Raw genomic sequence first — 26,738 nt, 5'->3', positions numbered from 1 at the left:
ATCTAAATAAAACGTCACTCCTTAATAAGTTTCCAATTATGTTATTAGTTCTACATATCTACCCTGAGAAGTTTTGTGCTCTCAAATGCATTAAATAAATCCACACCTAAACACAGCTTTGGAAATTATTCTAGACAGATTACCACCACTCCTGATTAGATGTGGAACAAAAAACATATTGATGTGAACATTTGATTTGCAACAACCAATTTGATGTTTGATATCTTCGCTTATCAAACAAGAAGCTGATTCACAATCTGATTTATGGAGTACAGCTACCTTTCAGAAGAGATAATATTAAGCAGATAAATCTTTAAACAAAAGTTTTATCCAGTATATTGGCTATCTTCAGGCTAGCTTACTTCAAGGTGGCAAGGTAGTTATAGCAATTGCAGGCTACATGCAGATAAGATAACCTCTAAGAAATACTAGATGGCCTCTCTCTTGTGCTTCTTTTTGAGTAAGGAAATTCTTCCCAGTTGCTTCCCAGCTGACTTCTAAAATCACACAAGCACATGCTTCACTAGTCACTGTGAAGGCAACAGGACTAGTGTGGTGATCTTAGACCAATCAGGATTCATCCTCTGAAATTGGGGCAGGGCCAATCTTCCCTGCTGCAGAAGGCCTCGGAAGGACAGCATATACTTGTACTCAGCCAAGGTTCTGTAAGAAAGGAGAAAAGGGAGAAATGGTTGTAGGCTAGACACCTAACAGTATCTGTAACATATGTAATAATATTACGTATGTTATTCTTCTTTCAGAATAATCTGTGTTATTCATAACATGCATAGAAATGGAATTTCTTATCGATTTTGAGTAATATTCATATCAATATGTTATGGCAGTATTGTAGAAGTGCTAATTCCAGAGATAGCTTCAAAATAGTCTTTTTCAGTTTAAGAGATTAATACAACTAATGAGATTTAGGAAGTATTTTTAAAAATTGTCCTTTTTCTTTTGAAACCAGGTCACTAATTCTCTGTTATAGCTAAAAGAAAGACCAAATTTGTGTAAGAAAAATCTAGTTTAAGATTTGTAAATCTTGAATTATATTCATTCAAAATGGAAACACCATCTTAATCTGCTTGTATGCTAACTCACATCATATTGGGCAACTCGTATTTTAAAATACGAATTTGGTTTTGAGGATTTATTCAGACACTTTGGAGTAGACAAAGGCTGCACATTAATTAAACTGGATTTAGAGACAGCTTATTGGCTTCATGTAGCTTCAAACATTTAGATGCTATTTTTCATTATGGCTGCAGGTTCCAATCACCGTTCATCTCAAACTGTTGCTAATTTAACCCCTCGTTTTGATGTTTTAAGACATTAGTTACCTAAGAGAAAAAAGAAAGGAGAACTGAAAGTATAATAGATGACAGATGAGATAGGATGTATTTGGGAAATTTTTAAAATCAGAGTGCTTTGCACATTAAAATAAATACATTTTTAAATGCCCATGTAAACAAAGATGGACCTGAAGTTTGTTTGTTTGTGCGTTTTTTTTTTTTTTTTTAACGGAGTTTTGCTCTTATCACCCAGGCTGGAGTGCAATGGCACGATTTCAGCTAACTGCAACCTCCACCTCCTGGGTTCAAGCAATTCTCCTGCCTCAGTCTCCTGAGTAGCTGAGATTACAGGTGCCTGCCACCATGCCTGGCTAATTTTTGCATTTTTTAGTAGAGATGGGGGTTTCACCATGTTGACCAGGCTCCTGACCTCAGGTGATCCTCCTGCCTTGGCCTCCAAAAGTGCTGGGATTACAGGTGTGAGCCACCGCACCTGGCCAGGCCTGAAGATTTTTAAAAATCAATATTTCTAGTCCAGTGGTTTGTTTTAAGCACTGGAAACTGCTTCCTGCTGTTCCTTTCCCTTGGTTTGCCAGGGAGTATAGTTAGTATTATTTATCGTTATTATTATTGCCTCCAACCTCTTCACCTGCCCATCCTTGACTGGTTCTGTTTGTGTAGTCATCAGCTTGTTTCATGACAACATCATACTTAAGTACCTAAGCCTGAATTCCAGTGTCATTTCAGAATCTTCCCTCCCCTCACCAAAATCAGCCAATTGTTCAACTGTATCTTGTGCATTACACCTTCTAAACATCACTAAAATAATTGTTCTCTGTAAGAGACATTTGTACTTTTTGCCTACTTTACTTACTCACAGTTTTCCTTTGGAGAACCTTCTTTCTTGCTTTTAGTTCAAGTGTTTTGAATAATATTCCAGAGGTGGACATGGAGCCCAGCCTTGTCCAATCAACATATCTCATTTTCCTGTCCAAGGAGATAGGTCAGAGTGATGGACACATATCCCAAGTTGTTCCAGTGAGATGCATACTCAGAGCTTTATTGGAACTGCTAAAGCTGCTGATAGGGTGTAATGTAAATCTGGAGCTGCTTGCTGGCTATTATAGAATCAAAGGATGGAGAGAAAGAGAGAGAGAGATTGGGTCTTGGTGACATCAATTGGGTGACTGGAGCCAGCAATGCTTGAAACCTTACCTTGGTACTTTTGGGTTCAAGCTACATTTCTGCCAGTGGCAAATAAAAATATTTTGATGAACAACTATTTTTCTTTTGTACTTTGACAATTTAATTCATTCTTTGAGACTCAGCCAAATGTTACCCTCCTCAGTGAAACCCTCCATGACACCTCCCCCTAACCTGAAGATAGAGAGTTCTGTGCTTTTCTGCATGAAATTTGTATTATGTACAAATTATACCATGGTTTCATTGTCAGTGTTCTTGTTGGTCTATGGCAGATGCTGCTTGTTAACCAATCCCCATTCTCCCATTTTTTTTTTCTTACAAGAGTCTCTATTTTTGCTTGGAGTGGCAATATGCCTAGCTTAAGTACTTACCTTCCCAAAATTCTTTGCAGATAGAGTGGCCTTACTACACAATTCTGGCCAGGAGACAGAAATCAATGTCTGCTAGAGATTTCTGGGAAAGATTTTATTTTCCTGATTCAGGCAGCTTTCTTACCCTCCTCTTTGTTCTTTCTCTCCTTTCTTTCCTGGCAGGAGGCATGCAGCTGGAGTAGAGCTGCTACCTGGCACCCATGAGTGACTAGCTTGTGGAAGGAAGTCATATATTAATGATGGTGGAGCACAAAGATATTTGGAGCCAGAGCCTGAATGGCTCTGAGTTGCCCACCTCTGGACCTAACATTTGGGAGGAAAATTACTCTATTTAGTTAAGCCTCTGTAAATGCGTTTTTGTTTTTTATTTGAATGTAGCTGAATGCCTTCCTGAAAGAATGCATCTGAACCGATAGTCTGGTCAAAACTATGAACTCCTTAAAGACAGAGCCAACTCCTTTGCTTCTGAACTCTAAATATACCTAATGTTTGGCACATAGTAAAGGTTCACTCTAATACTGGAAAGGGGATTTAAGCCTCAGATCCATGTCAATCCTGAGACTTTATGATTTCATTCTGTACGCCACCCCCAATGCTTGCTTTCACTCCAACACCTACCCCTCTCCTAGCCATACATGTTATTTTGAAGGGAACCCCTAAACCAAGAAGTAGAGGTTGGTCTCCACATCTCTGTAATATGGTTGCTGCTATTACTTTCCTTGCTTGACAAACTTCTCACTTATTCACACTTGCTCTTTTTATTATTTCATACATGGAACCTGTAAAGAATTTTTAACATGAGGTCAAAATTTCAGGTTCCTTTGAATATGGTTTCACTCAGAAAACACTTAAAACAAAAATTCTGACTTAGGAATTCAACATATTAACAGCTTCTAGTATCAGTCACCAAATTTGGCTCCCAGAGAGGCTGCCCTGGGCCTCAGGTAAAATTCTTCATCACCCTAGGTAAAAATCCATTTCCTTAGGTCCTGACTTGTGTTCCAGGGGACTGATCAAGTCGATGGTGATTATTGTAATGAGCAGTAATTACTGTTGGCTACACACAGATTTCAGAATTTCTGAAGTCAAAACAAAACAGCTATTATTATTGCAGGGAAGAGAATTTTATTCCACAGGACATGTGCTGTTTAACTTCTATTAGCAGTAAAGAAAAATTACCCATGTACATTTCTCATTCATCAATGGTATCAAAGAACTCAAACTGGGCATCTCCTAATTAGCTTCTGAAGCAGAAGTGGTGCTATCACTTAGAAGGAGACAAAATTAGTTATATCCTTTTATTAAAAGGAAATTTAATGTATAAAAGAGTCATTTCTTAAATTAACCATGTGAGGACTTTTACACTATAAGAAGTAAGGACCAGATCATCCTTTAGATTATCATTAAGCTTGCTCCAAATCATAGACACTGGTAGGTTAAACACTGTCACAAAAAGGAGTCCCCTGAGCTGGTGCTTCTTGTGGAGACAGAGAAACATAGAATATATGATCCAAAATTCTTTGGGCCATGTGACCTAGTCAAAGGACCTGAATAGTCAGAGCTACAACTAAAATTGTGATTATTCTCACTAAATCTCAAACCTCTCCAAAGGCCATTTGAGAAAGTCAGTAATACTTACCTGCGCAATTCAGGAAGTGCTCTTAAAGGTCGGGTATTATTATTATTATTATTGTTATTTTTGAGATGAAATCTTGCTCTGTCGCCCAGGCTGGAGTGCATTGGTGCGATCTCGGCTCACTGCAACCTCTGTCTCCTGTGTTCAAGCAATTCTCCTGCCTCAGACTCCTGAGTAGCTGGGAATACAGGTGTGCGCCACCATGCCCAGCTAATTTTTGTATTTTTAGTAGAGATGGGGTTTCACCATGTTGGTCAGGCTGGTCTTGAACTCCCGACCTCATGATCCACCCACCTCGGCCTCCCAAAGTGCTGGGATTACAGGCATGCGCCACCACACTGGGCTAATTTTATATTTTTATCATGTATGTTTCACCATGTAGGCCAGGCTGGTCTCAAACTCCTGACCTCAGGTGATCCACCTGCCTCGGCCTCCCAAAGTGCTGGGATTACAGGTGTGAGCCACCACGACTGGCCCAGCATTTCCTTTTTCACACAAATTGCTGGAGGATATTTTTAAAAGTAGCTTTACCTACTTTTGGAATGGAAACTAAAATCACTTCTTCTTCTTCTTTTTTTTTTTTTTTGCCATGAAGAAAACTAAATAATGTAATAAAAAGTGATGTGTTAGGTGGTGGCTACTTTAGAGTGAGTGGTCAGGGAGAGGAAGTGACTGTTGAGCTGAGATAAGAAGGAGCTGGCCAAAAGAAGGTCTGGGGTGCAAGAATTTTAGGTAGAACAAGCTGAGCTAAAGGGTTTGAGTTTTGTCTGAGTACGGAGTGATTTTGGACCATCCAGGGGCCCTCTATGCTGGGGCAAACTGGGAGTGGGTGGTAGGAGTGATCTGAGATGAGGTTGGAGGAGTAGGCAAGAGTCAGGTCATGCAGACCCAGGAAAAAGTTTAAATATATTCTAAGAATAATAGGAAGCTATTGGACATGAACTGATCTCATCTAGGCTTTTAAAAGACTACCCACGCCGCTGTACAGAAAATGGATGCCATGAGACAGGTGTGGAAGAGAGGAGACTGTCCAAGTGAGGAATCATGGTGATTGTATTGGAGTGGTAAGAAATGGAGAGAGGTGACTGGATTCATGATATATTTTGGAAGAATGGCCAACAAAACACTTTGACGGATTATACATCGGGCATGAGATAAAGAAGAAAAAGGCTTAACTCAGTGGATAAGGCTGCCATTGAGTGAAATAGGAAGACTGAGGAAGGCCCACATTGTTTTGCAGTGCTAGAAAAAAGAGATTGTTTGTGGACATGTTAAGCTTGAGATTCCTTTTAGATATCAAAGAAAAGATGGTTGCAAGCTAAGGCTGACCTTGATAATAGTGTTTTTACTAGAGTATCGAGGAAGTGGGGCGAGTGACTAAAGACAAGCCTTTTTAAAGAAGTTTTAAAGTGAAGAGAAGCAAGGACATGGTATGATAGCTAAGATGGATGTAGAATTGTGAAAGGTTTGTTTTGTTTTAAGATGGAAGATACTAAAACATGCTTATTTGTAAGTTCTGGGAAGAAATTAGCAACGTATGCTTATGAAGGGAGGAATGAAGTCCCCAACAGATAAGAGAAGGAGAGATCCAGATCAAAGAGGAGGGCTGGCCTTTCATAGGAACAGGGATGCTTAATGAATAGCAAATGGAGGGAGGGCAAAAAGTGTGAATACAGATGTGGGTGGTTTTGCAGGTTTGGAGGTATAAGGAATCTCCTCTGATTTCTGTATTTTTCCCAGTCAATGATGAGGCCAGATCATCAGCCAAGAGTGGTGGGGAGAGAAAGGGAATATAGGAGATTTGAGAGCGAGAATAGAAGCTGTAGTATGGGAAATTTAAAACCTGAAAGCATAATAGGATTTTTGAGCTGTGCTATGTGTCCAATTGAGATTTGTTATTATTTCATACATGGAACCTGTAAAGACTTTTTAACATAAGGACAAAATTTCAGGTTCCTTTGAACATGGTTTCTAAACCATGGATTTTCTAAAACATGGATCTAAAATTAAGTGGTTAACATGGTTGGTCATGTGTTTTTCCATGGGAATGTTCAGGAGATTTGGTCCAGGTATAGAGTAGCTGTGGCAATGAGTTTAACCCTGTTAGGGGACTTTACCAGGAAAGTATAATAATGGGGAGAAATGGAGAAATTTCTATAATCATGGAAATGATTATAATTATGGACCATGGGAATCTGGATATGAGGAAATGAGAGTGATGATGTGATGATTAGTGAAAAAGCAACAGGGCCAATGGGTCAAAGATCTCTATGAGGTCAAAGACTTAGTACAGAGAAGGTACTTTGGTAAGTGGAAATCACCTGGGGAGCTACTAACACATAGGAATGTTCATGACTCTTCCCCAAAGATTCTGATTTAGTTGGTTTGGATTGGAACCTTAGTATCAGTGTTCTAAAGAGCTTTGCAGGTAATTATAGATGCAACTATGGTTAACAGCCACCAAGTAATAGGAAGATGGGCAATCAGTTCATGCTTAAGGAACAGTTAGCTGGAAGGTGTGGGGCCACTGGGCAACTGCTCTCTTCTGCAGCTGGTGTTTGTTTGATGGCTTGGGAGTGACTTGGGAATAAATGAGTTTCCTCCTCCACTGGTCAAACAGTGTCCACAAGAGTAAATTTGAATGTAACTACAGTCAATATTAACTGGGATGAAAATCCCAACTGTTAACATGAGCAAATTTCCATTGTTACAACCATCCCTCTTGGTTTTCTCTGAGCTTGCTGTGGTGTGGTAGCCGGGAAGAGTGAGGAACCATCTCACCTACATGCAAGGCTCTGTGGGGACCCTCTCAAGGCATCTGAGTCATAGGTGCTCTGAAGCCACTCATGAAGCTCCTCTCCACTCTTCATTGTGGGGGAATACTTGTCACTCTTGTGTCTATATAGCCAAGAGTGATGAAACAAACAAACAAACAAACAGCAAAGCAACCCAAAGTGCAAATTATCTATCATTCTCTTTCTTTCATTCTACAGACTGAAAACATGATAAAGTGTCACTTACAGCCTGAGATAAAAAAGCTGACAAAAATACCAACTGACAAAAATATAGAGTTAGAACAATTTCAGAGCAAAGTTCTCTAAAGAACAAAGTGCGCTTGTGATACACAGCACTAGTTCTTAGTCTTGCTGAATTCTGCAACCACAAATTGCCAGAGTGACTGCAGAAGCTAGCAGAAGGCTTGTTTCATGGAAGGTTATGTATGTATGGACTTTTCTGTACCTGCACCATCTCTCTCTAGGTACAGGAAACAGAGAGATAAGCTCTCAAGCTATAAAGTCAACACTGGCCCTCTTTTTCACCCACGTGACCACAAAGTAACCAAGTGGCAGGAAACAGATTGAAATCAAAGGACAAATGCCATGTAGTATCCAGCCATGGTGAGCTCAAATGTGGCCAAATAACTTACAGAACTTTCTCAACCAGAACTTTTATTGCTCACTGCCATCACTGTATGGGCAAAGGGAGAGTAGCCCCTAAAAAAAAAAAAAAAAAAAAAAAAAAGAAAAAAACCAGTTTAAAAGAAAATAAATTGCAGCACTTTAAAAATGTTAAAGGATGCTTTCTATTGCTTTTAGTGGAGTTTATAACAAAGAAATGAAAATAAGCAATGTCCAAAAGAGTAAATTTGACTGTAACTATAGTAAATATTCACTGGGATGATAATCCTAACTGTTAACATGAATAAATTTCCATTGTTACAAACATTTGGTTTAACTTAATCCGCAGAATATATTACTGCCAAAAGGAATCTCATTGACAAGAGCTAATGCATCAGTTACTCTTAAAACTATCGCTCTTGAACTGTTGACTTACTGGTAGTGTTCGTCATGGAAAAGACTATTTTTATTACCACTGTCATCAAACTCAGTGAAGTTCAGAGATATTTGCTTGTAGTCACTACAGCTTATTCCGTTGCTGATTAGAGTCCACATGTGTGAACAAGAGACTAGAGGTTTGGGTGATGCCACGTTTCTATCAGATGACGATGTGATTGTGATTGGATCAGATGAAAGTGTTTGGCTGGGCTTCCAATCCAGATTCTTTCAACTAAAGCCAACAGGCAAGGAAGCAGAAACAAAATGCACAGGGAACTCATTTTAAAATGTTCTTATATAAACAGCTTTGCTTGGAAGTGCTAGGGGTCAGGGTGATAGGTAGAGGTTATTTAACTTTTCCCTCCAGCTTCTCAGATACTCCCCAGCCTCAGATTTGCAAATATCTCTCAACATTTCAGAACTGTAAAGGAAACACAAATTAGGAAGCATCACCAGAACTCTTTCAAATCTAGCATTTAAATAGAATAATGTAATATGATGGAAAGATTTTTGGCCAAAAAGAGATTTGAGAATGTAGGTTGAGCCCCAGTTCCATCATTAAATAACTCTTGGCCAAGTAATTTCCTTTCCTAATCAGTAAAATGAGAGAGGTCTAGTGTACCCATGGTTTGCAAACAGTGCTTTTCAGGACCCTTCAGGAAAGCAGTGGATGGTGGGACTCTACCAAAGTATATTGTTTGTTTCAGGCATTGAAGCTTTTTTTGTTTTGTTTTTGTATTGTTTTCTTTCCAACTTTTAGGTTTAGGTTCAGGGAGTACATGTGCAGGTTTAGTGTGTGGGTAAATTGTGCATTGTGGGGGTTTGGTGTACAGGTTACTTTGTCACCTAGGTAATGAGTATAGTATCTGAGAAGTAGTTAGGAGCTTTTTTTGAAGAAAGATTTCTGTCATCAAAAAATTTCATGAAGGATTTCATTAGATGACCTTTAAAAGTCTCTTTAAAGAATGGATACTTTTAATTCACAACAGTGAATTCATAGCAGTTATTTCTAAACTCTTTTTTTTTTGTTTTTTTTTATTATACTTTAAGTTTTAGGGTACATGTGCACATTGTGCAGGTTAGTTACATATGTATACATGTGCCATGCTGGTGCACTGCACCCACTAACTCGTCATCTAGCATTAGGTATATCTCCCAATGCTATCCCTCCCCCCTCCCCCCACCCCACCACAGTCCCCAGAGTGTGATATTCCCCTTCCTGTGTCCATGTGATCTCATTGTTCAATTCCCACCTATGAGTGAGAATATGCGGTGTTTGGTTTTTTGTTCTTGCGATAGTTTACTGAGAATGATGATTTCCAATTTCATCCATGTCCCTACAAAGGACATGAACTCATCATTTTTTATGGCTGCATAGTATTCCATGGTGTATATGTGCCACATTTTCTTAATCCAGTCTATCATTGTTGGACATTTGGGTTGGTTCCAAGTCTTTGCTATTGTGAATAATGCCTCAATAAACATACGTGTGCATGTGTCTTTATAGCAGCATGATTTATAATCCTTTGGGTATATACCCAGTAATGGGATGGCTGGGTCAAATGGTATTTCTAGTTCTAGATCCCTGAGGAATCGCCACACTGACTTCCACAATGGTTGAACTAGTTTACAGTCCCACCAACAGTGTAAAAGTGTTCCTATTTCTCCACATCCTCTCCAGCACCTGTTGTTTCCTGACTTTTTAATGATTGCCATTCTAACTGGTGTGAGATGGTATCTCATTGTGGTTTTGATTTGCATTTCTCTGATGGCCAGTGATGATGAGCATTTTTTCATGTGTTTTTTGGCTGCATAAATGTCTTCTTTTGAGAAGTGTCTGTTCATGTCCTTCGCCCACTTTTTGATGGGGTTGTTTGTTTTTTTCTTATAAATTTGTTTGAGTTCATTGTAGATTCTGGATATTAGCCCTTTGTCAGATGAGTAGGTTGCAAAAATTTTCTCCCATTTTGTAGGTTGCCTGTTCACTCTGATGGTAGTTTCTTTTGCTGTGCAGAAGCTCTTTAGTTTAATTAGATCCCATTTGTCAATTTTGTCTTTTGTTGCCATTGCTTTTGGTGTTTTAGACATGAAGTCCTTGCCCATGCCTATGTCCTGAATGGTAATGCCTAGGTTTTCTTCTAGGGTTTTTATGGTTTTAGGTCTAACGTTTAAATCTTTAATCCATCTTGAATTGATTTTTGTATAAGGTGTAAGGGAGGGATCCAGTTTCAGCTTCCTACATATGGCTAGCCAGTTTTCCCAGCACCATTTATTAAATAGGGAATCCTTTCCCCATTGCTTGTTTTTCTCAGGTTTGTCAAAGATCAGATAGTTGTAGTTATGCGGCGTTATTTCTGAGGGCTCTGTTCTGTTCCATTGATCTATATCTCTGTTTTGGTACCAGTGCCATGCTGTTTTGGTTACTGTAGCCTTGTAGTATAGTTTGAAGTCAGGTAGTGTGATTACTCCAGCTTTGTTCTTTTGGCTTAGGATTGACTTGGCAATGCGGGCTCTTTTTTGGTTCCATATGAACTTTAAAGTAGTTTTTTCCAATTCTGTGAAGAAAGTCATTGGTAGCTTCATGGGGATGGCATTGAATCTGTAAATTACCTTGGGCAGTATGGCCATTTTCACGATATTGATTCTTCCTACCCATGAGCATGGAATGTTCTTCCATTTGTTTGTATCCTCTTTTATTTCATTGAGCAGTGGTTTGTAGTTCTCCTTGAAGAGGTCCTTCACATCCCTTGTAAGTTGGATTCCTAGGTATTTTATTCTCTTTGAAGCAATTGTGAATGGGAGTTCACTCATGATTTGGCTCTCTGTTTGTCTGTTGTTGGTGTATAAGAATGCTTGTGATTTTTGTACATTGATTTTGTATCCTGAGACTTTGCTGAAGTTGCTTATCAGCTTAAGGAGATTTTGGGCTGAGACAATGGGGTTTTCTAGATATACAATCATGTCGTCTGCAAACAGGGACAATTTGACTTCCTCTTTTCCTAATTGAATACCCTTTATTTCCTTCTCCTGCCTAATTGCCCTGGCCAGAACTTCCAACACTATGTTGAATAGGAGTGGTGAGAGAGGGCATCCCTGTCTTGTGCCAGTTTTCAAAGGGAATGCTTCCAGTTTTTGCCCATTCAGTATGATATTGGCTTGGGTTTGTCATAGATAGCTCTTATTATTTTGAAATACGTCCCATCAATACCTAATTTATTGAGAGTTTTTAGCATGAAGGGTTGTTGAATTTTGTCAAAGGCCTTTTCTGCATCTATTGAGATAATCATGTGGTTTTTGTCTTTGGCTCTGTTTATATTCTGGATTACATTTATTGATTTGCGTATATTGAACCAGCCTTGCATCCCAGGGATGAAGCCCACTTGATCATGGTGGATAAGCTTTTTGATGTGCTGCTGGATTCAGTTTGCCAGTATTTTATTGAGGATTTTTGCATCAATGTTCATCAAGGATATTGGTCTAAAATTCTCTTTTTTGGTTGTGTCTCTGCCCGGCTTTGGTATCAGAATGATGCTGGCCTCATAAAATGAGTTAGGGAGGATTCCCTCTTTTTCTATTGATTGGAATAGTTTCAGAAGGAATGGTACCAGTTCCTCCTTGTACCTCTGGTAGAATTCGGCTGTGAATCCATCTGGTCCTGGACTCTTTTTGGTTGTTGAACTATTGATTATTGCTACAATTTCAGCTCCTGTTATTGGTCTATTCAGAGATTCAACTTCTTCCTGGTTTAGTCTTGGGAGAGTGTATGTGTCGAGGAATTTATCCATTTCTTCTAGATTTTCTAGTTTATTTGCGTAGAGGTGTTTGTAGTATTCTCTGATGGTAGTTTGTATTTCTGTGGGATCGGTGGTGATATCCCCTTTATCATTTTTTATTGTGTCTATTTGATTCTTCTCTCTTTTTTTCTTTATTAGTCTTGCTAGCGGTCTATCAATTTTGTTGATCCTTTCAAAAAACCAGCTCCTGGATTCATTGATTTTTTGAAGGGTTTTTTGTGTCTCTATTCCCTTCAGTTCTGCTCTGATTTTAGTTATTTCTTGCCTTCTGCTAGCTTTTGAATGTGTTTGCTCTTGCTTTTCTAGTTCTTTTAATTGTGATGTTAGGGTGTCAATTTTGGATCTTTCCTGCTTTCTCTTGTGGGCATTTAGTGCTATAAATTTCCCTCTACACACTGCTTTGAATGCGTCCCAGAGATTCTGGTATGTGGTGTCTTTGTTCTCGTTGGTTTCAAAGAACATCTTTATTTCTGCCTTCATTTCGTTATGTACCCAGTAGTCATTCAGGAGCAGGTTGTTCAGTTTCCATGTAGTTGAGCGGCTTTGAGTGGGATTCTTAATCCTGAGTTCTAGTTTGATTGCACTGTGGTCTGAGAGATAGTTTGTTATAATTTCTGTTCTTTTACATTTGCTGAGGAGAGCTTTACTTCCAACTATGTGGTCAATTTTGGAATAGGTGTGGTGTGGTGCTGAAAAAAATGTATATTCTGTTGATTTGGGGTGGAGAGTTCTGTAGATGTCTATTAGGTCGGCTTGGTGCAGAGCTGAGTTCAATTCCTGGGTATCCTTGTTGACTTTCTGTCTCGTTGATCTGTCTAATGTTGACAGTGGGGTGTTAAAGTCTCCCATTATTAATGTGTGGGACTCTAAGTCTCTTTGTAGGTCACTCAGGACTTGCTTTATGAATCTGGGTGCTCCTGTATTGGGTGCATATATATTTAGGATAGTTAGCTCTTCTTGTTGAATTGATCCCTTGACCATTATGTAATGGCCTTCTTTGTCTCTTTTGATCTTTGTTGGTTTAAAGTCTGTTTTATCAGAGACTAGGATTGCAACCCCTGCCTTTTTTTGTTTTCCATTTGCTTGGCAGATCTTCCTCCATCCTTTTATTTTGAGCCTATGTGTGTCTCTGCAGGTGAGATGGGTTTCCTGAATACAGCACACTGATGGATCTTGACTCTTTATCCAATTTGCCAGTCTGTGTCTTTTAATTGGAGAATTTAGTCCATTTATATTTAAAGTTAATATTGTTATGTGTGAATTTGATCCTGTCATTATGATGATAGCTGGTGATTTTGCTCGTTAGTTGATGCAGTTTCTTCCTAGTCTCGATGGTCTTTACATTGTGGCATGATTTTGCAGCGGCTGGTACCGGTTGTTCCTTTCCATGTTTAGTGCTTCCTTCAGGAGCTCTTTTAGGGCAGGCCTGGTGGTGACAAAATCGGTCAGCATTTGCTTGTCTGTAAAGTATTTTATTTCTCCTTCACTTATGAAGCTTAGTTTGGCTGGATATGAAATTCTGGTTTGAAAATTCTTTTCTTTAAGAATGTTGAATATTGGCCCCCACTCTCTTCTGGCTTGTAGGGTTTCTGCCGAGAGATCCGCTGTTAGTCTGATGGGCTTCCCTTTGAGGGTAACCCGACCTTTCTCTCTGGCTGCCCTTAACATTTTTTCCTTCATTTCAACTTTGGTGAATCTGACAATTATGTGTCTTGGAGTTGCTCTTCTTGAGGAGTATCTTTGTGGCGTTCTCTGTATTTCCTGAATCTGAACGTTGGCCTGCCTTGCTAGATTGGGGAAGTTCTCCTGGATAATATCCTGCAGCGTGTTTTCCAACTTGGTTCCATTCTCCCCATCACTTTCAGGTACACCAATCAGACATAGATTTGGTCTTTTCACATAGTCCCATATTTCTTGGAGGCTTTGCTCATTTCTTTTTATTCTTTTTTCTCTAAACTTCCCTTCTCACTTCATTTCATTCATTTCATCTTCCATTGCTGATACCCTTTCTTCCAGTTGATCACATCGGCTCCTGAGGCTTCTGCATTCTTCACGTAGTTCTCGAGCCTTGGTTTTCAGCTCCATCAGCTCCTTTAAGCACTTCTCTGTATTGGTTATTCTAGTTATACATTCTTCTAAATTTTTTTCAAAGTTTTCAACTTCTTTGCCTTTGGTTTGAATGTCCTCCTGTAGCTCAGAGTAATTTGATCGTCTGAAGCCTTCTTCTCTCAGCTCGTCAAAGTCATTCTCCATCCAGCTTTGTTCTGTTGCTGGTGAGGAACTGCGTTCCTTTGAAGGAGGAGAGGCGCTCTGCGTTTTAGAGTTTCCAGTTTTTCTGTTCTATTTTTTCCCCATCTTTGTGGTTTTATCTACTTTTGGTCTTTGATGATGGTGAGGTACAGATGGGTTTTCGGTGTGGATGTCCTTTCTGTTTGTTAGTTTTCCTTCTAACAGACAGGACCCTCAGCTGCAAGTCTGTTGGAATACCCTGCTGTGTGAGGTGTCAGTGTGCCCCTGCTGGGGGGTGCCTCCCAGTTAGGCTGCTCGGGGGTCAGGGGTCAGGGACCCACTTGAGGAGGCAGTCTGCCGGTTCTCAGATCTCCAGCTGCGTGCTGGGAGAACCACTGCTCTCTTCAAAGCTGTCAGACAGGGACATTTAAGTCTGCAGAGGTTACTGCTGTCTTTTTGTTTGTCTGTGCCCTGCCCCCAGAGGTGGAGCCTACAGAGGCAGGCAGGCCTCCTTGAGCTGTGGTGGGCTCCACCCAGTTCGAGCTTCCTGGCTGCTTTGTTTACCTAATCAAGCCTGGGCAATGGCGGGCGCCCCTCCCCCAGCCTCGTTGCCGCCTTGCAGTTTGATCTCAGACTGCTGTGCTAGCAATCAGCGAGACTCCGTGGGCGTAGGACCCTCCGAGCCAGGTGTGGGATATAGACTCGTGGTGCGCCGTTTTTTAAGCCGGTCTGAAAAGCGCAATATTCGGGTGGGAGTGACCCGATTTTCCAGGTGCGTCCGTCACCCCTTTCTTTGACTCGGAAAGGGAACTCCCTGACCCCTTGCGCTTCCCAGGTGAGGCAATGCCTCGCCCTGCTTCGGCTCGCGCACGGTGCGCGCACCCACTGGCCTGCGCCCACTGTCTGGCACTCCCTAGTGAGATGCACCCGGTACCTCAGATGGAAATGCAGAAATCACCGGTCTTCTGCGTCGCTCATGCTGGGAGCTGTAGACTGGAGCTGTTCCTATTCGGCCATCTTGGCTCCTCCCCTATACAAACTCTTCTAAACTCTTTTGTTTGTTTGTTTTTTGAGACAGAGTCTCACTCTGTCACCCAGGCTGGAGTGCAGTGGCACGATCTTGGCTCACTGCAACCTCTGCCTCCTGGGTTCAAGCAGTTCTTGTGCCTCAACCTCCCCAGTAGCTGGGAATACAGGCGTGCACCACCACATCCAGCTAATTTTCTGTATTTTTAGTAGAGACGGGGTTTCACCGTGTTGGCCAGGCTGATTTCAAACTCCTGGCCTCGATCAGTCTGACTGCCTCAGGCTCTCAAAATGCTGGGATTACAGGCGTGAGCCACCCTGCCTGTCCGGTTTCTAAACTTTTTGATAAGCAATAGTTTCTAAACTTTTTGCATCCTAATCAGTAAAAGTATTTTTGCCATGCAATTCCAAAATTGCATGGCAAAGATTAATAAGTTATGTAAGTGTATTACTGTAAGATATATTCCTTACAAAACATTTTTCCCAAAACAAATTTTAAAGGGGAGATAAATATTAAATTTTAAGGTAAATCATACATTTATTTTATAATGATTAAAACTTTTTATCAATATTAATACCTTTATTACTTAACATTATTAATATTAACATTAAAAGTTTTACTGAAAGTAATGGTATTTGAATATGTCACCTGATTGGTTGGTCATTGTTTGTAACTGCATAGGACTTGCTAATTTTCTACTACCATGGTAAGGCTTATAGTTGATCTTCAATATTAATGGTATATACTTTCTGTCAGGACCTGCAAACAAAAATTAAATAAACTGCCTACAGCTCTAGGATTTTCTGATTGATTCACACAGTCACAAGATGTTGGAAGATGGTAAATTTAGTGTTTTTAATTCCAGACAAAAACCACTGTGGTTCATTTAAGCAGGAAGGTTTTATTAAAAGATTTCAGACAGTTTACAGATCTTTGGGAGGAACAGAGAACCGGGCTTGGTTGCTTCACATAGCAACTAGAAGAAATGCCCTTCCACAGCACAGGACTGGCCTAACCAAACACTGCATCTGTCCCTGCTTACTTCTCAACATGAATGATGCTTAGGACAGAATGACAGAATCTCCAGCACAGCTGCCCCAGGAACTCCTGGTGCCTCTGCCTCTGAGCTTCAGGGAGGTTCACTTGCCCCTAGGGAACACTGACTCACACTGATCATTTTGCCTCCACATCTCTGAAAGTGTGTCTGCTATTAGGCTATTTGTTGAGACTAATTGCAATGAAGAGGGTAGGTCTAGCCATGCTGTTTGCCAACAAATCCTGGTAAGGAGAAGGGCTGTACTTTGTAGGATGGCTGGTAATGAAGAAAGAGCTGCACCCCTTTAAGGAGGGGCCAGAGTCCAAGAAGGCAAAGCTTGGCTGACAGCCTGTTCTGGAATCAGTCTTTGAGTGGTCCTGAACAAGAGGGTAGAATGGGCAATGGGGCTTCTGGGCCAGTAGCAGGGCTCAGCTTCTAGTGAATGGCTTGGCTGCCGTAGGCCAGATAGGCATGTTAGAGTCAGTATGAGGGATGATAGAGGCAAGGTTTGGCCTCAAGAAAAGAGAGTAACAATAATGAGTTAGGAGACCACTGTTCTCAGCCAACCAGTTTGGGTTCAGGCTTACAGGACAGAGAGCAAGTAAGACACACAAAACGAGTGTGAGCCAAATGCTCAAAACATGTCCGGAAGCTGAAATCCACTTGAAACCCAGTTTTGATTCTGGACACAGGAACAGCCGTCTAGCACCAGACTCTTATCACTGGGGAAAAGGAGCTATCACTGTCCCAATCTGTAGAGGTTTTAGAACTTACTAGGCTATAGTGGTCCCTACCAGACAGGCCAAATAGAAGCTATGCTTATTTATTGCTGCACAATAAATCACCCCAACATAGTGGTGTAAAACAATAATCATTTTATTACACTCATGTGTCTTTGCTCCACAATATCTGGGACCTCAGCTGGAAAGACTCAAATGCCTGGGGACAACTCAAAATGCTGGGAGTTGAACTCATCTGGGGACATCGTCACTCATCTACCTGGCTTGTATGCTGGAATAGCTCAAAAGCTAGGTTCAGCTGTGACTATTGGCCAGAGAACCTAGTGAGGGCTCTCTTTGTGAACTGGGCTTCTCACAGCATGGCTGCTGGGTTCTGAGATGAAGCACTCAAGAGGGAGCCTGCAGAGAGCAAATGTACCAAAAAACCTAGGCAGAAGCTGCATGAGCTTTTATAGCCAAACCTTAGAAGTCATTTAACATCACCCTGCACCACTCTGTCGGTTGAAGCCATCACAAACCCATCCAGATTCATGTAAAGGAGTCATAGATAGATCCCACGTCTCGATGGGAAGAATGTCAAAACATTTGCGATCATGTTATGAAACTGCCACTAGGAAAGAAGAAGTGAAAGAGTAAAGTTTAAAAACACATTAGCTGCATATAAATATTGACTAAAACTTGAATAACCTAGCTTAGTTTATTTAAAAAAAAAACATACTGAAGACTTATCCTGTACCAAGTTCTGTGCAAAGGGCCTGGGATACAGAGCTAAGGAAGAGCCCTCAAGGAGCTTACAATCCACTGGAGAAAACAGATGTATATGCTTTATTGTAACTGAGGGTCAAATGAGGAAACTGAATGAAGACAGATAGTATAAGAGTGTTAAGAACACATGGACACAGGAAGGGGAACATCACACTCTGGGGACTGTTGTGGGGTGGGGGGAGCGGGGAGGGATAGCTTTAGGAGATATACCTAATGCTAAATGACGAGTTAATGGGTGCAGCACACCAGCATGGCATATGTATACATATGTAACTAACCTGCACATTGTGCACATGTACCCTAAAACTTAAAGTATAATAATAATAAAAGAAAAAAAAAGAGTGTTATGATAACCTACAAGAAGGAATAATTAGCATGGTGAAGAGGCCGTGTTGTCTAAAGGGAGGTATATGAGGTTAGAAATTGGTCAGACCTTAATTTGAATGTTACCTTCATCACTTGTTAGATTGAACCATGCAAAACTACTTTGTTGTGGATAAAAAACTAGTTGACTATCAGCAATTTAATGTGGCTCAATGTACTACTGGCTAAGCCACCTCAAAAAGTTACTTAACTTCTGGGAATATCAGTTTCTTGACCAGTAAACTGAGGTTAAAAATGTCTTAGAGTTATTTGCAAAAATAAGGTAACATATGCAAAATACCAGTATAATGCTTAACACAGGGTAAGCACTTAATAAATAGTTGTTGTTCTGTAATTATTCTTCTTCGTATTTTTCACTTTGACCACTGGTTTAATATAATCATTATTATCATGGAAAACATTAGGGACAACACTGAATCTGAGACGACAATTGAAGGCTGAATATGATTTTGATGACTAGTGAAGAAAGGTAGAACAAAAGATTTTAGGCTGATCAAAAACATGTGAAAAAGCTATTTTTGTGATTCTACTTATAGGTGACACTCAGTTCTGCCTTTGTTTTGGGAGTCAGATATTTCGTTTAAATAAAAGGATTCAAGAAAAAAGTGCAACTGAAATTCACTAACAGCAAATCACCACAGGTATTTTCAGGTCTAGGCTTCCCAGTGTTTTTATGGAGTAAATAATCTGCAATCCTTCCCTTCACAAACCACTGAGGCATTCTGCTTAAAAACTAATCAATGCTCTTGAAAAACGTTAAGGAAAGTCTCTGGGGCTCAACACAATGGGAATCAAAATCCTGGCAGCCTATGGTTGTGGAAGGGGAGACAAGAGCCTTGAGAATTCAGGGCATAGGTTTCAAAACTCTCATGGAGTTAGGACATAAAGCTCTGGCCCAACATGAATTGGGGAGATAAAAACTGATACCCTTGCATAAATCTGGGTCTCAAAGGGCTACGTAATCAGTGAAATGCTGGTCTAGAAAATCATCAGCTCACTAGAAAAAGAAATAAGGAAGATTCTATCTCATCTGGCCTCTGGGTTAAAAAAAAAAAAGTGTCCCCTGACAATTCTTTCCAACAGGCCTACTATCACTTACATCTGTGGTTCTAATTACATTTCCTCCATAGTTTGGGAAAAGCCAGGCTGATAAATTAGTGAAAAAATTGATAACACTGAAGCATCTAACAAAAGCAAAGGTAAAATCATTGTGAAAGGATATGTCAAGTAATTTTAAACATGATTTCCACAGAGAAAATCTTGTTGAAGGTGAACTCACAACTTAAAATTCTAAAGTATGGCAAAACAATTTTTCTGAGTAATGATTAGTAGGTACAACAAACAGAAGGATTAAAAAGATCCCATGGCCAGGCGTGGTGGCTCACACCTGTAATCTCAGCACTTTGGGAGGCTGAGGCGGGTGGATCACCTAAGGTCAGGAGTTCGAGACCAGCCTGACCAACGTGGAGAAACCCCGTCTCTACAAAAAATACAAAATTAGCTGGGCTTGGTGGCACATGCCTATAATCCCTTGGGAGGATTGAGGGAGGCTGAGGCAGGAGAATCACTTGAACCTGGGAGGCAGAGGTTGCAGTGAGCTGAAATCGTGCCATTGCACTCCAGCCTGGAAACAAGAGTGAAACTCCATCTCAAAAAAAAAAGAAAAAAAAATCCCTAGGAACTTCAGATAATAGAGCTGTCAGATAAAATAAATATATTTGAAATGTTTAAAAACTTAACCTGGCCAGGTGCGGTGGCTCATGCCTGTAATCCCAGCACATTGGGAGGCAGAGGCAGGCAGGTTGCTTGAGCCCAGGAGTTCGAGACCAGCCTGGCCAACATGGTGAAACCCCGTCTCTACTAAAAATACAAAAATTTGCCAGGCATCATGGTGCACTCCTGTCATCCCAGCTACACAGGGGGTTGAAGCAGGAGAATCACTTGAACCTGGGAGACAAAGTTTGCAGTGAGCTGAGATCATGCAACTGCACTGCAGCCTGGGTAACGGAGCAAGATTGTCTGGAAAAAAAAAAAAACAAAAAACCCAAAACCAAAACAAAAAACAAAAAAAATCCCAAGAACTGAACTGTAAGATAAAAAAGACAAGACAGTGTGAAAAGATAACAGGCACATTTTAAAAAAGAATCAAATATAAATTATGGAAATTTAAAAAATAATTAAGATAAAAAATTTAATCGTCAGTTTAAATAGCTTATTAGATACAGAGAAAGAGAGAATTAGAAAACTTGAATATAAACTTGAGGAAATTATTCAGAAGTAAGCACAAGATAATAGAGAGAATCTATGAAAGAGAGGCTAATAAATACAGAAGATAGAGCAAGAAGATCTAACATATATCTAATCAGATAACAGGAAAAAAGAATTGAGAGGGTGAAGAAAAAGCAATATTTAAAAAGGTAATGGTTGAGGATTTTCTCAAATTGTTTAAAAATTAGAATCCTTACATTTAGACAGTACAATTTTTGAGCAAAATATGCCTTAGCAGTGGAAGACAAGAAGAGTTGATATAAATATCCCCTCAAGGAATTTATAGCCTATGAAGAGAGATCATAGAGATACAGACAAAACCAACATGTAAAACTAAGATGCCATAGGAGATTGTGATTGTGATGGGGAGAGATTGTTTTTCCACTTGAAACAACATATCAGAACTTTAGGGGAGGAGGTGATATTTGTTTTGAATCTCAAAAGATGGGTAGTCTGAACATGTGAAGAGGATGTGTAATTCACATTACTGCCTGCTTTATCTTCCTAAGGCAAATTCTGATAATGTCATTCCCCTATTCAGAATCTTCAGGATCTCTCAGTTGTCTTCAAGATAAAGCCTCAAAATTTTGCCATTCATTCCAAGCCTCTGTGGCATGTGTCCAACCTATCTTTCCAAACATATTTCCCATAAGTCCCTTCTTGAATTCCATAACATAGGCTGCCTAAAGTCCTTGCTGCTTCTGGTGCACATCTCATGTTTCCCCATCTCTCTTGCTATTTCCCCAGTGTAGAACACCTTTGAATGAGAGGCAAAAATTTGGGGCTTTATCTTGACAATAACTGAGGGATCTTGAAACTTGTCATAGAAGAAAGACACTTTCAGAATAGTGCCTCAGGAAAGTTAAGCAGGCAGTGCTGTGTAGGGTAGACTAGAACAGGAGGTTCCTGTAGCTAAGTAGCCCTTGCTCCCTGCTTAAATATTGCCCCACTCTGGGAGGCACAAGAGACACCAGATTGCTCAATTGGTTTAATGAAGAAACCTGCATGATAGTTGATTCTGTAGAAATTTTGGACACAAATGTGAAAATCTCAGCCAAGCATTAACAGAACAGAAACAGATGCATCAAAATATCTTCACTATCTTGGCTTCTCTGCATTGGTGCTTCCACTGCAGCTAGAATTGAAGCTGTCTCCTAGAGCCCTTAAGAATAGCATATATCTTTATGAGTCCAATGTATCCAATTTCAGAGTTCCAGTTCAATGTCAAACAGCTAAGTGAAAACCTGGATATGAGTTAGATGGTGATTTTTTGCTGATAAACTATTACTTCTAAATGGGTGTAAGCCCAGACAAATTTTAGAATTATTCTTTTTTTTTGGAAGACAGAGTTTCACTCTGTTGCCCAGGGTGGAGTGCAGTGGCGTGATCATAGCTCATTGCAGTCTTGAACTCTCAGGCTCCCACCTCAGCCTCCCAAGTAGCTAGGACTACAGGTGTGCACCACCATGCCCAGCTAATTTTTTTTGTAAGACAGAGTCTTGCCATGTTGCCCAGGCTGGTCTCAAACTCCTGGGCTCAAGCAATCCTCCTTCCTTAGCCTCCCGAAGTGCTGGGGTTACAGGTATGAGTCACTGCACCTAGCCCTAGAATTATTTTTCAGTTTCTCTATGCAACAGAAAATTCTTCTCATTTCAAAAAGTGTATTTTTCAAGAGTGTTTATAAAGTTGATTTGAACACTTTACTATCAAAACCCAGTATAAGAGCATTATATTTTCTAAAATGTTTGAAGTCCAAATCTTATCATGTTCCTGGTTTCTAGTATATCTACATGAGCCCTCAAAGTAGATAATTCAATTAATGAGCCCTACAGTTTCTTCTGTGTACAATTGATCTGTACAGAAATTGTTTCTTTCCCAACCCCAGAATGGTGGTATGTTCCCTTGTCTTAATCTTTGAAAATGGACTTTTCATTATAAAACATTTGCTATGGGACATGCATCATCATTTTTAAAAACATAGCTTTACCTCAGTAGGTATGTTTCTGGGGAAAGTGAGTATAAATCAGATTTTTGTAAGTCAAATCATATTTTAAATGTCCCAGGGGAACTCATTATTTAATAAAATAGCATGAAGCGAATAATCACATTGTGATGTGGCTTTTCATAAAGCAGGGCACACCTGTATCACACTCTGTCATGGCTATAGGACTTCACTCCATAGCAGAGTTTGAGGGTTGCCAGGTCTAGCTTGGACCTAAGTCAAGGGAATTAAGTTATTGAGTACTGAGGATCTTGTTACAAGGAAGTCTCATTTATAAGCTGTCTCAGCATGGATCCTAAAGTTTGTGCTTTAAAAAGATGTGGAAAGTCTGCTATACTTGTAAGTTTAAAAGTATATTAAGCAAATTAAGTTGCTTTATGTCTATATTTTCTCATGTCAACCATAATCACTTGTTTGTTTGAGTAAAGAATTTAAAAGTCCTGTAGGTGTTAATTTTACAAATCTTTTATTTCCTGGCAGGAATCTAGACTTAGTAAATAGTTTCATGTATTGAAAGTATGGGCAACAACCAAATTTATGGAAGTGAAAATGTAAGAAACACTGAACAAATTTAAAAGCATGTAAAAATAATTTTAAAAGAAAGAAGAGAGAAAGAGCGCTTATTCCATTGAAAACCACTTTCTCTTTGAATTGTCTTTGTGGCTTCCATCTCACAGGGAGAGAATATGGTAATATAAAAACATTACACATCTTCAAATACTGACTTTGTATATATTGTGCAGAAATTCTTGCAATCTTAAGGCCACGGGAGGAGCAATGCCTCTGTCAGTGAGTCTCACCAGCCCTCAGCATGTGGCCCAGGTCCTGCTGCCACAGGCTGACTGGGAGATGGTCAGGACTCTGCTTGTACGAGATGAACTGAGTGTAGTGTTGACTTATATGAAACTGAGTTGTGAAAGCACAAGCACACAAGAATCCCTTAAAAATACATAGCTAAGGGGCCGGGCATGGTGGCTCATTCCTGTAATCCCAGCACTTTGGGAGGCCGAGGGAGGCGGATCACCTGAGGTCAGGAGTTCAAGACCAGCCTGGCCAACATGGCGAAACCATGTCTCAACTAAATATACATAATTAGCTGGGCCTCATGGTGTGTGCCTGTAATTCTAGCTACTCAGGAGGTTCAGGCAGGAGAATTGCTTGAACCCGGGAGGCAGAGGTTTCAGTGAGCCGAGATCGTGCCACTGCACTCCAGCCTGGGTGACAGAGCGAGACTCCATCTCAAAACAAAGCAAAACAAAACAACAACAACAACAACAACAAAAAACAAACCAAAAACCATAGCTAAAACCATTCTCTCTCTCCTCTCTCTCTCTCTCTCTCACACACATACACACACACATGTGCATTTAAACTGAAATGTTAATATCTAATTGTACCAGTCAGTTCTATGTATGTCAAAGTCCTCAGGCTTCAGCTACTTGAGGGGCAGTCTGCTGACTAAAGGCAACTATCTTATTGCAGATGGGAATGGGAAGAGCAGTATCCAAGACCCCTGACTCTCTCTCTCTGTCTCTCTCACACACAGACATGCACACACACACGCACACCCTCGTTATTTTGCCGACTATGAAATGTTAGAGCTTAGAGCTCTAAATAGCTCCATTTATTAAATTCCTACTATGTAGCAGGCGCCATACTAGGTGCTTTGTATACATTGTCTTTAATTATCACAAGTATTCTGCAAGATGTACATACTTATTCTAATAATACAGGGGAGGTAACTGGGACTCAGAGAGGTTCAATAATTTGCCTAAAGTTATGCAACTGGTAAAAGGGAGGACTGGGATTTGTACCTCCAGTGGTTTGATACTTAAGGTGTTTCAACTCAATCTTGTGACCCCAGAATTTATCTAAGGTATAATGGCCCTGAAATCTGAATACTGCCATCTTTTCTTAACAATGGCAACCATGGCTTCCAAAGCATTTTTATATATTAATCCTATGTGGGAAGAAATGCCTATTTCCATGCTGCAGATGAAAAAACAAAGTGGAGAATATAAGGCATAATCTCTTTCAAGATGTCCACAGCTGAAAGGGGAAGGAAGATCTGTAAACAAAAAACTGTAATGTAAGGAGGGAGAAATAAAAGCCATAGACTTGGCAGCAAAATACTGAATGGGTGAGGGGGGCTTGAGGAAAGTGGCTGGAAGAGATGTCAATCAGACAAGAATCAAGGAAGCCTTGCAGGTGGCATTTGGCCCCTAAGCTCAGTGGTCAATGCATGTTAGTCTAGGGTTTCTGCAGTGGGCCAGAGGAGATGTAGCGTTTACGTGGATAGGTTCGTTGACTCCATCCTCTCCCGTGACCACGGCAGAAAGCAGGATTTGAAATGAAGTTCAATCACAGAGGCGTCCTGATTTAAGACAGAAGAAAGAAAACCTGGCCAGGCACATTCTATTGCAGTGCATCTCCAACTTCAACGTTCTAGTGAATCACTTGTTAAAATGTCAATTTTGATTTAGTAGGTTTGGTTGGGGCCTGAGATCTTGAGTTTCTATTGAAATCCTGGCGATGCTTGATGTTGCTGGTCTGCGACTACACTTCGAGGAGCATCTGCATCACCTAGGAGCCTGTTGAGAAATGTTGGGCCCCACCCCAGGCTTACTGAATCAGAATCTGCATTTTAACAAGATTCCCAGGCGATTCGTATGCACATTACACTTTGAGAAATACTCTTCCAAGTAATTCTTTTTTCAATGGAAGGGACCCCAAGAGGTCCAAACTTCCCAGGGCATCGCTCAGGAACAGTCTGGTTTCTTTCCGGAGCTCAAGTTCCGTGCCCCGTGAAGTTGCTCCTCCTGATTCTAAACCGGTAGCAGCTCCAGGAGTTTGCTCGCCTCATAATCCTCCTTGCTGGGTTCCTTTCCACCCCAACCCGCGCCTCCCCGGGGCGCTCCAGCTGTTTCCCACCCCCACGCCCAGGCGGCTACTGTGCACAGCTGGAGCCCTAAGCGGCGTGAGCACCAGAGCTGCCGCGGCCAAAGAAACCAGGCGAGGGCGCCGCAGACTAGGCTGTGCGGGAGGAGGCCGCGCCGAGCCCGGAGAGGGCGGCCAGAGCGGCTGGTGGGGGACCGCGAGCTTAGCACCTGGTGCCAATAGGCACGGCCCTGGCGCGGCCCCACATTCCCACACTGCAGGAACCTAGGCTCGCCACCTGGGAGGCGGCGCGCATCACTCCAACCTGCGTTTCATAAACCCTTCGGGAAATGGTTCTTCAACCCCATGGGCTAGTAATCAGCCCGACGTTCTCTCCAAAGAACTGCTGATTATAATTCCCGAGCGGGGCGGGGGCCCAGATTTTAAATCGACTATTTAATGTCATCATCGTCATTATTATTAAAAGCCAGCTACCCTGACCGCTCCCTGCTCCCCGTACCTTATATACACATCAGAAGTTGGATGGGAGGATGTTGAACTAGGGGGAGGGAGTAGGATTGTAAAACCGAATGATTTGCTAAGAAATCTGGGACCGAAAACGCAATTTACAAAACGGCAAGTTTTACGAGGTAGAGAAGGTAACTGGGCAGAAATCGCCCGGCCGCCGAACACCAGCTGCGCGTACTCGCTGAGCCGGCTGGTCCCGAGCGCGCCTCGCTGTGCCATGCCGCCCCGGCAGCGCGAGGATTTCGCAGGAAGAGGAGGCTGTTCCGTGTCTCAGGCCCCGGCGTCGAGACGCTGTGGAGAGGGGTGCCCCCAGCCGCCCCGCGCCCTTTGCGGCCCGTGGCTCCCTTTCCCTGGCTGGACGTGGAAGCCGAGCTAGCCCTGAGCTGTCGCCTCGCCGGCGTTCAAAGCGCGCATTTCTCTGCAAGCTTCCCTTTTAGGGCAAAGCGTGGCGGATCATTCAAAGTTAACACCTTCATGCAGCCGCTGCTGCCTGGATGTGTGCTTATATGTGTATGTGTGTGTATTTCTCTGACAATGTCAGACAAATCAGGTAGCTTTAACATTAAAGCCTACGTGTTCTATCTCGAGGCTTATCAGGTTTGTTCAAACTTTTGTGAGTGTGTGTGTGTGAGTGCGCGCGTGTCTCCACCCTCCTCTCGCTCCCCCAGCCCCACCCCCACCCCGCCTGTGCAGGGCGAAGTAGTCCTATATAGCGATGATAAATATCCCTGTTGATCACTTGATTGATTA

The 26,738-nt window shown here is 41.2% G+C and overlaps 1 annotated feature.

Moving 5' to 3' along the window:
* Positions 25,266-25,767: an enhancer, noted in NCBI's record as "OCT4-NANOG hESC enhancer chr3:169386901-169387402 (GRCh37/hg19 assembly coordinates)". NCBI's record gives its function as "activates a minimal SCP1, AML or CMV promoter by ChIP-STARR-seq in naive H9 embryonic stem cells {active_cell/tissue: H9 hESC(naive)}" and the evidence as "EXISTENCE:reporter gene assay evidence [ECO:0000049][PMID:30033119]".

This window comes from Homo sapiens, chromosome 3 (assembly GCF_000001405.40).
Source record: "Homo sapiens chromosome 3, GRCh38.p14 Primary Assembly".
Lineage (NCBI taxonomy): Eukaryota > Metazoa > Chordata > Mammalia > Primates > Hominidae > Homo > Homo sapiens.
Note: the sequence above shows the minus strand (reverse complement) of the source record. Positions and strands in the feature narration are given on the sequence as shown.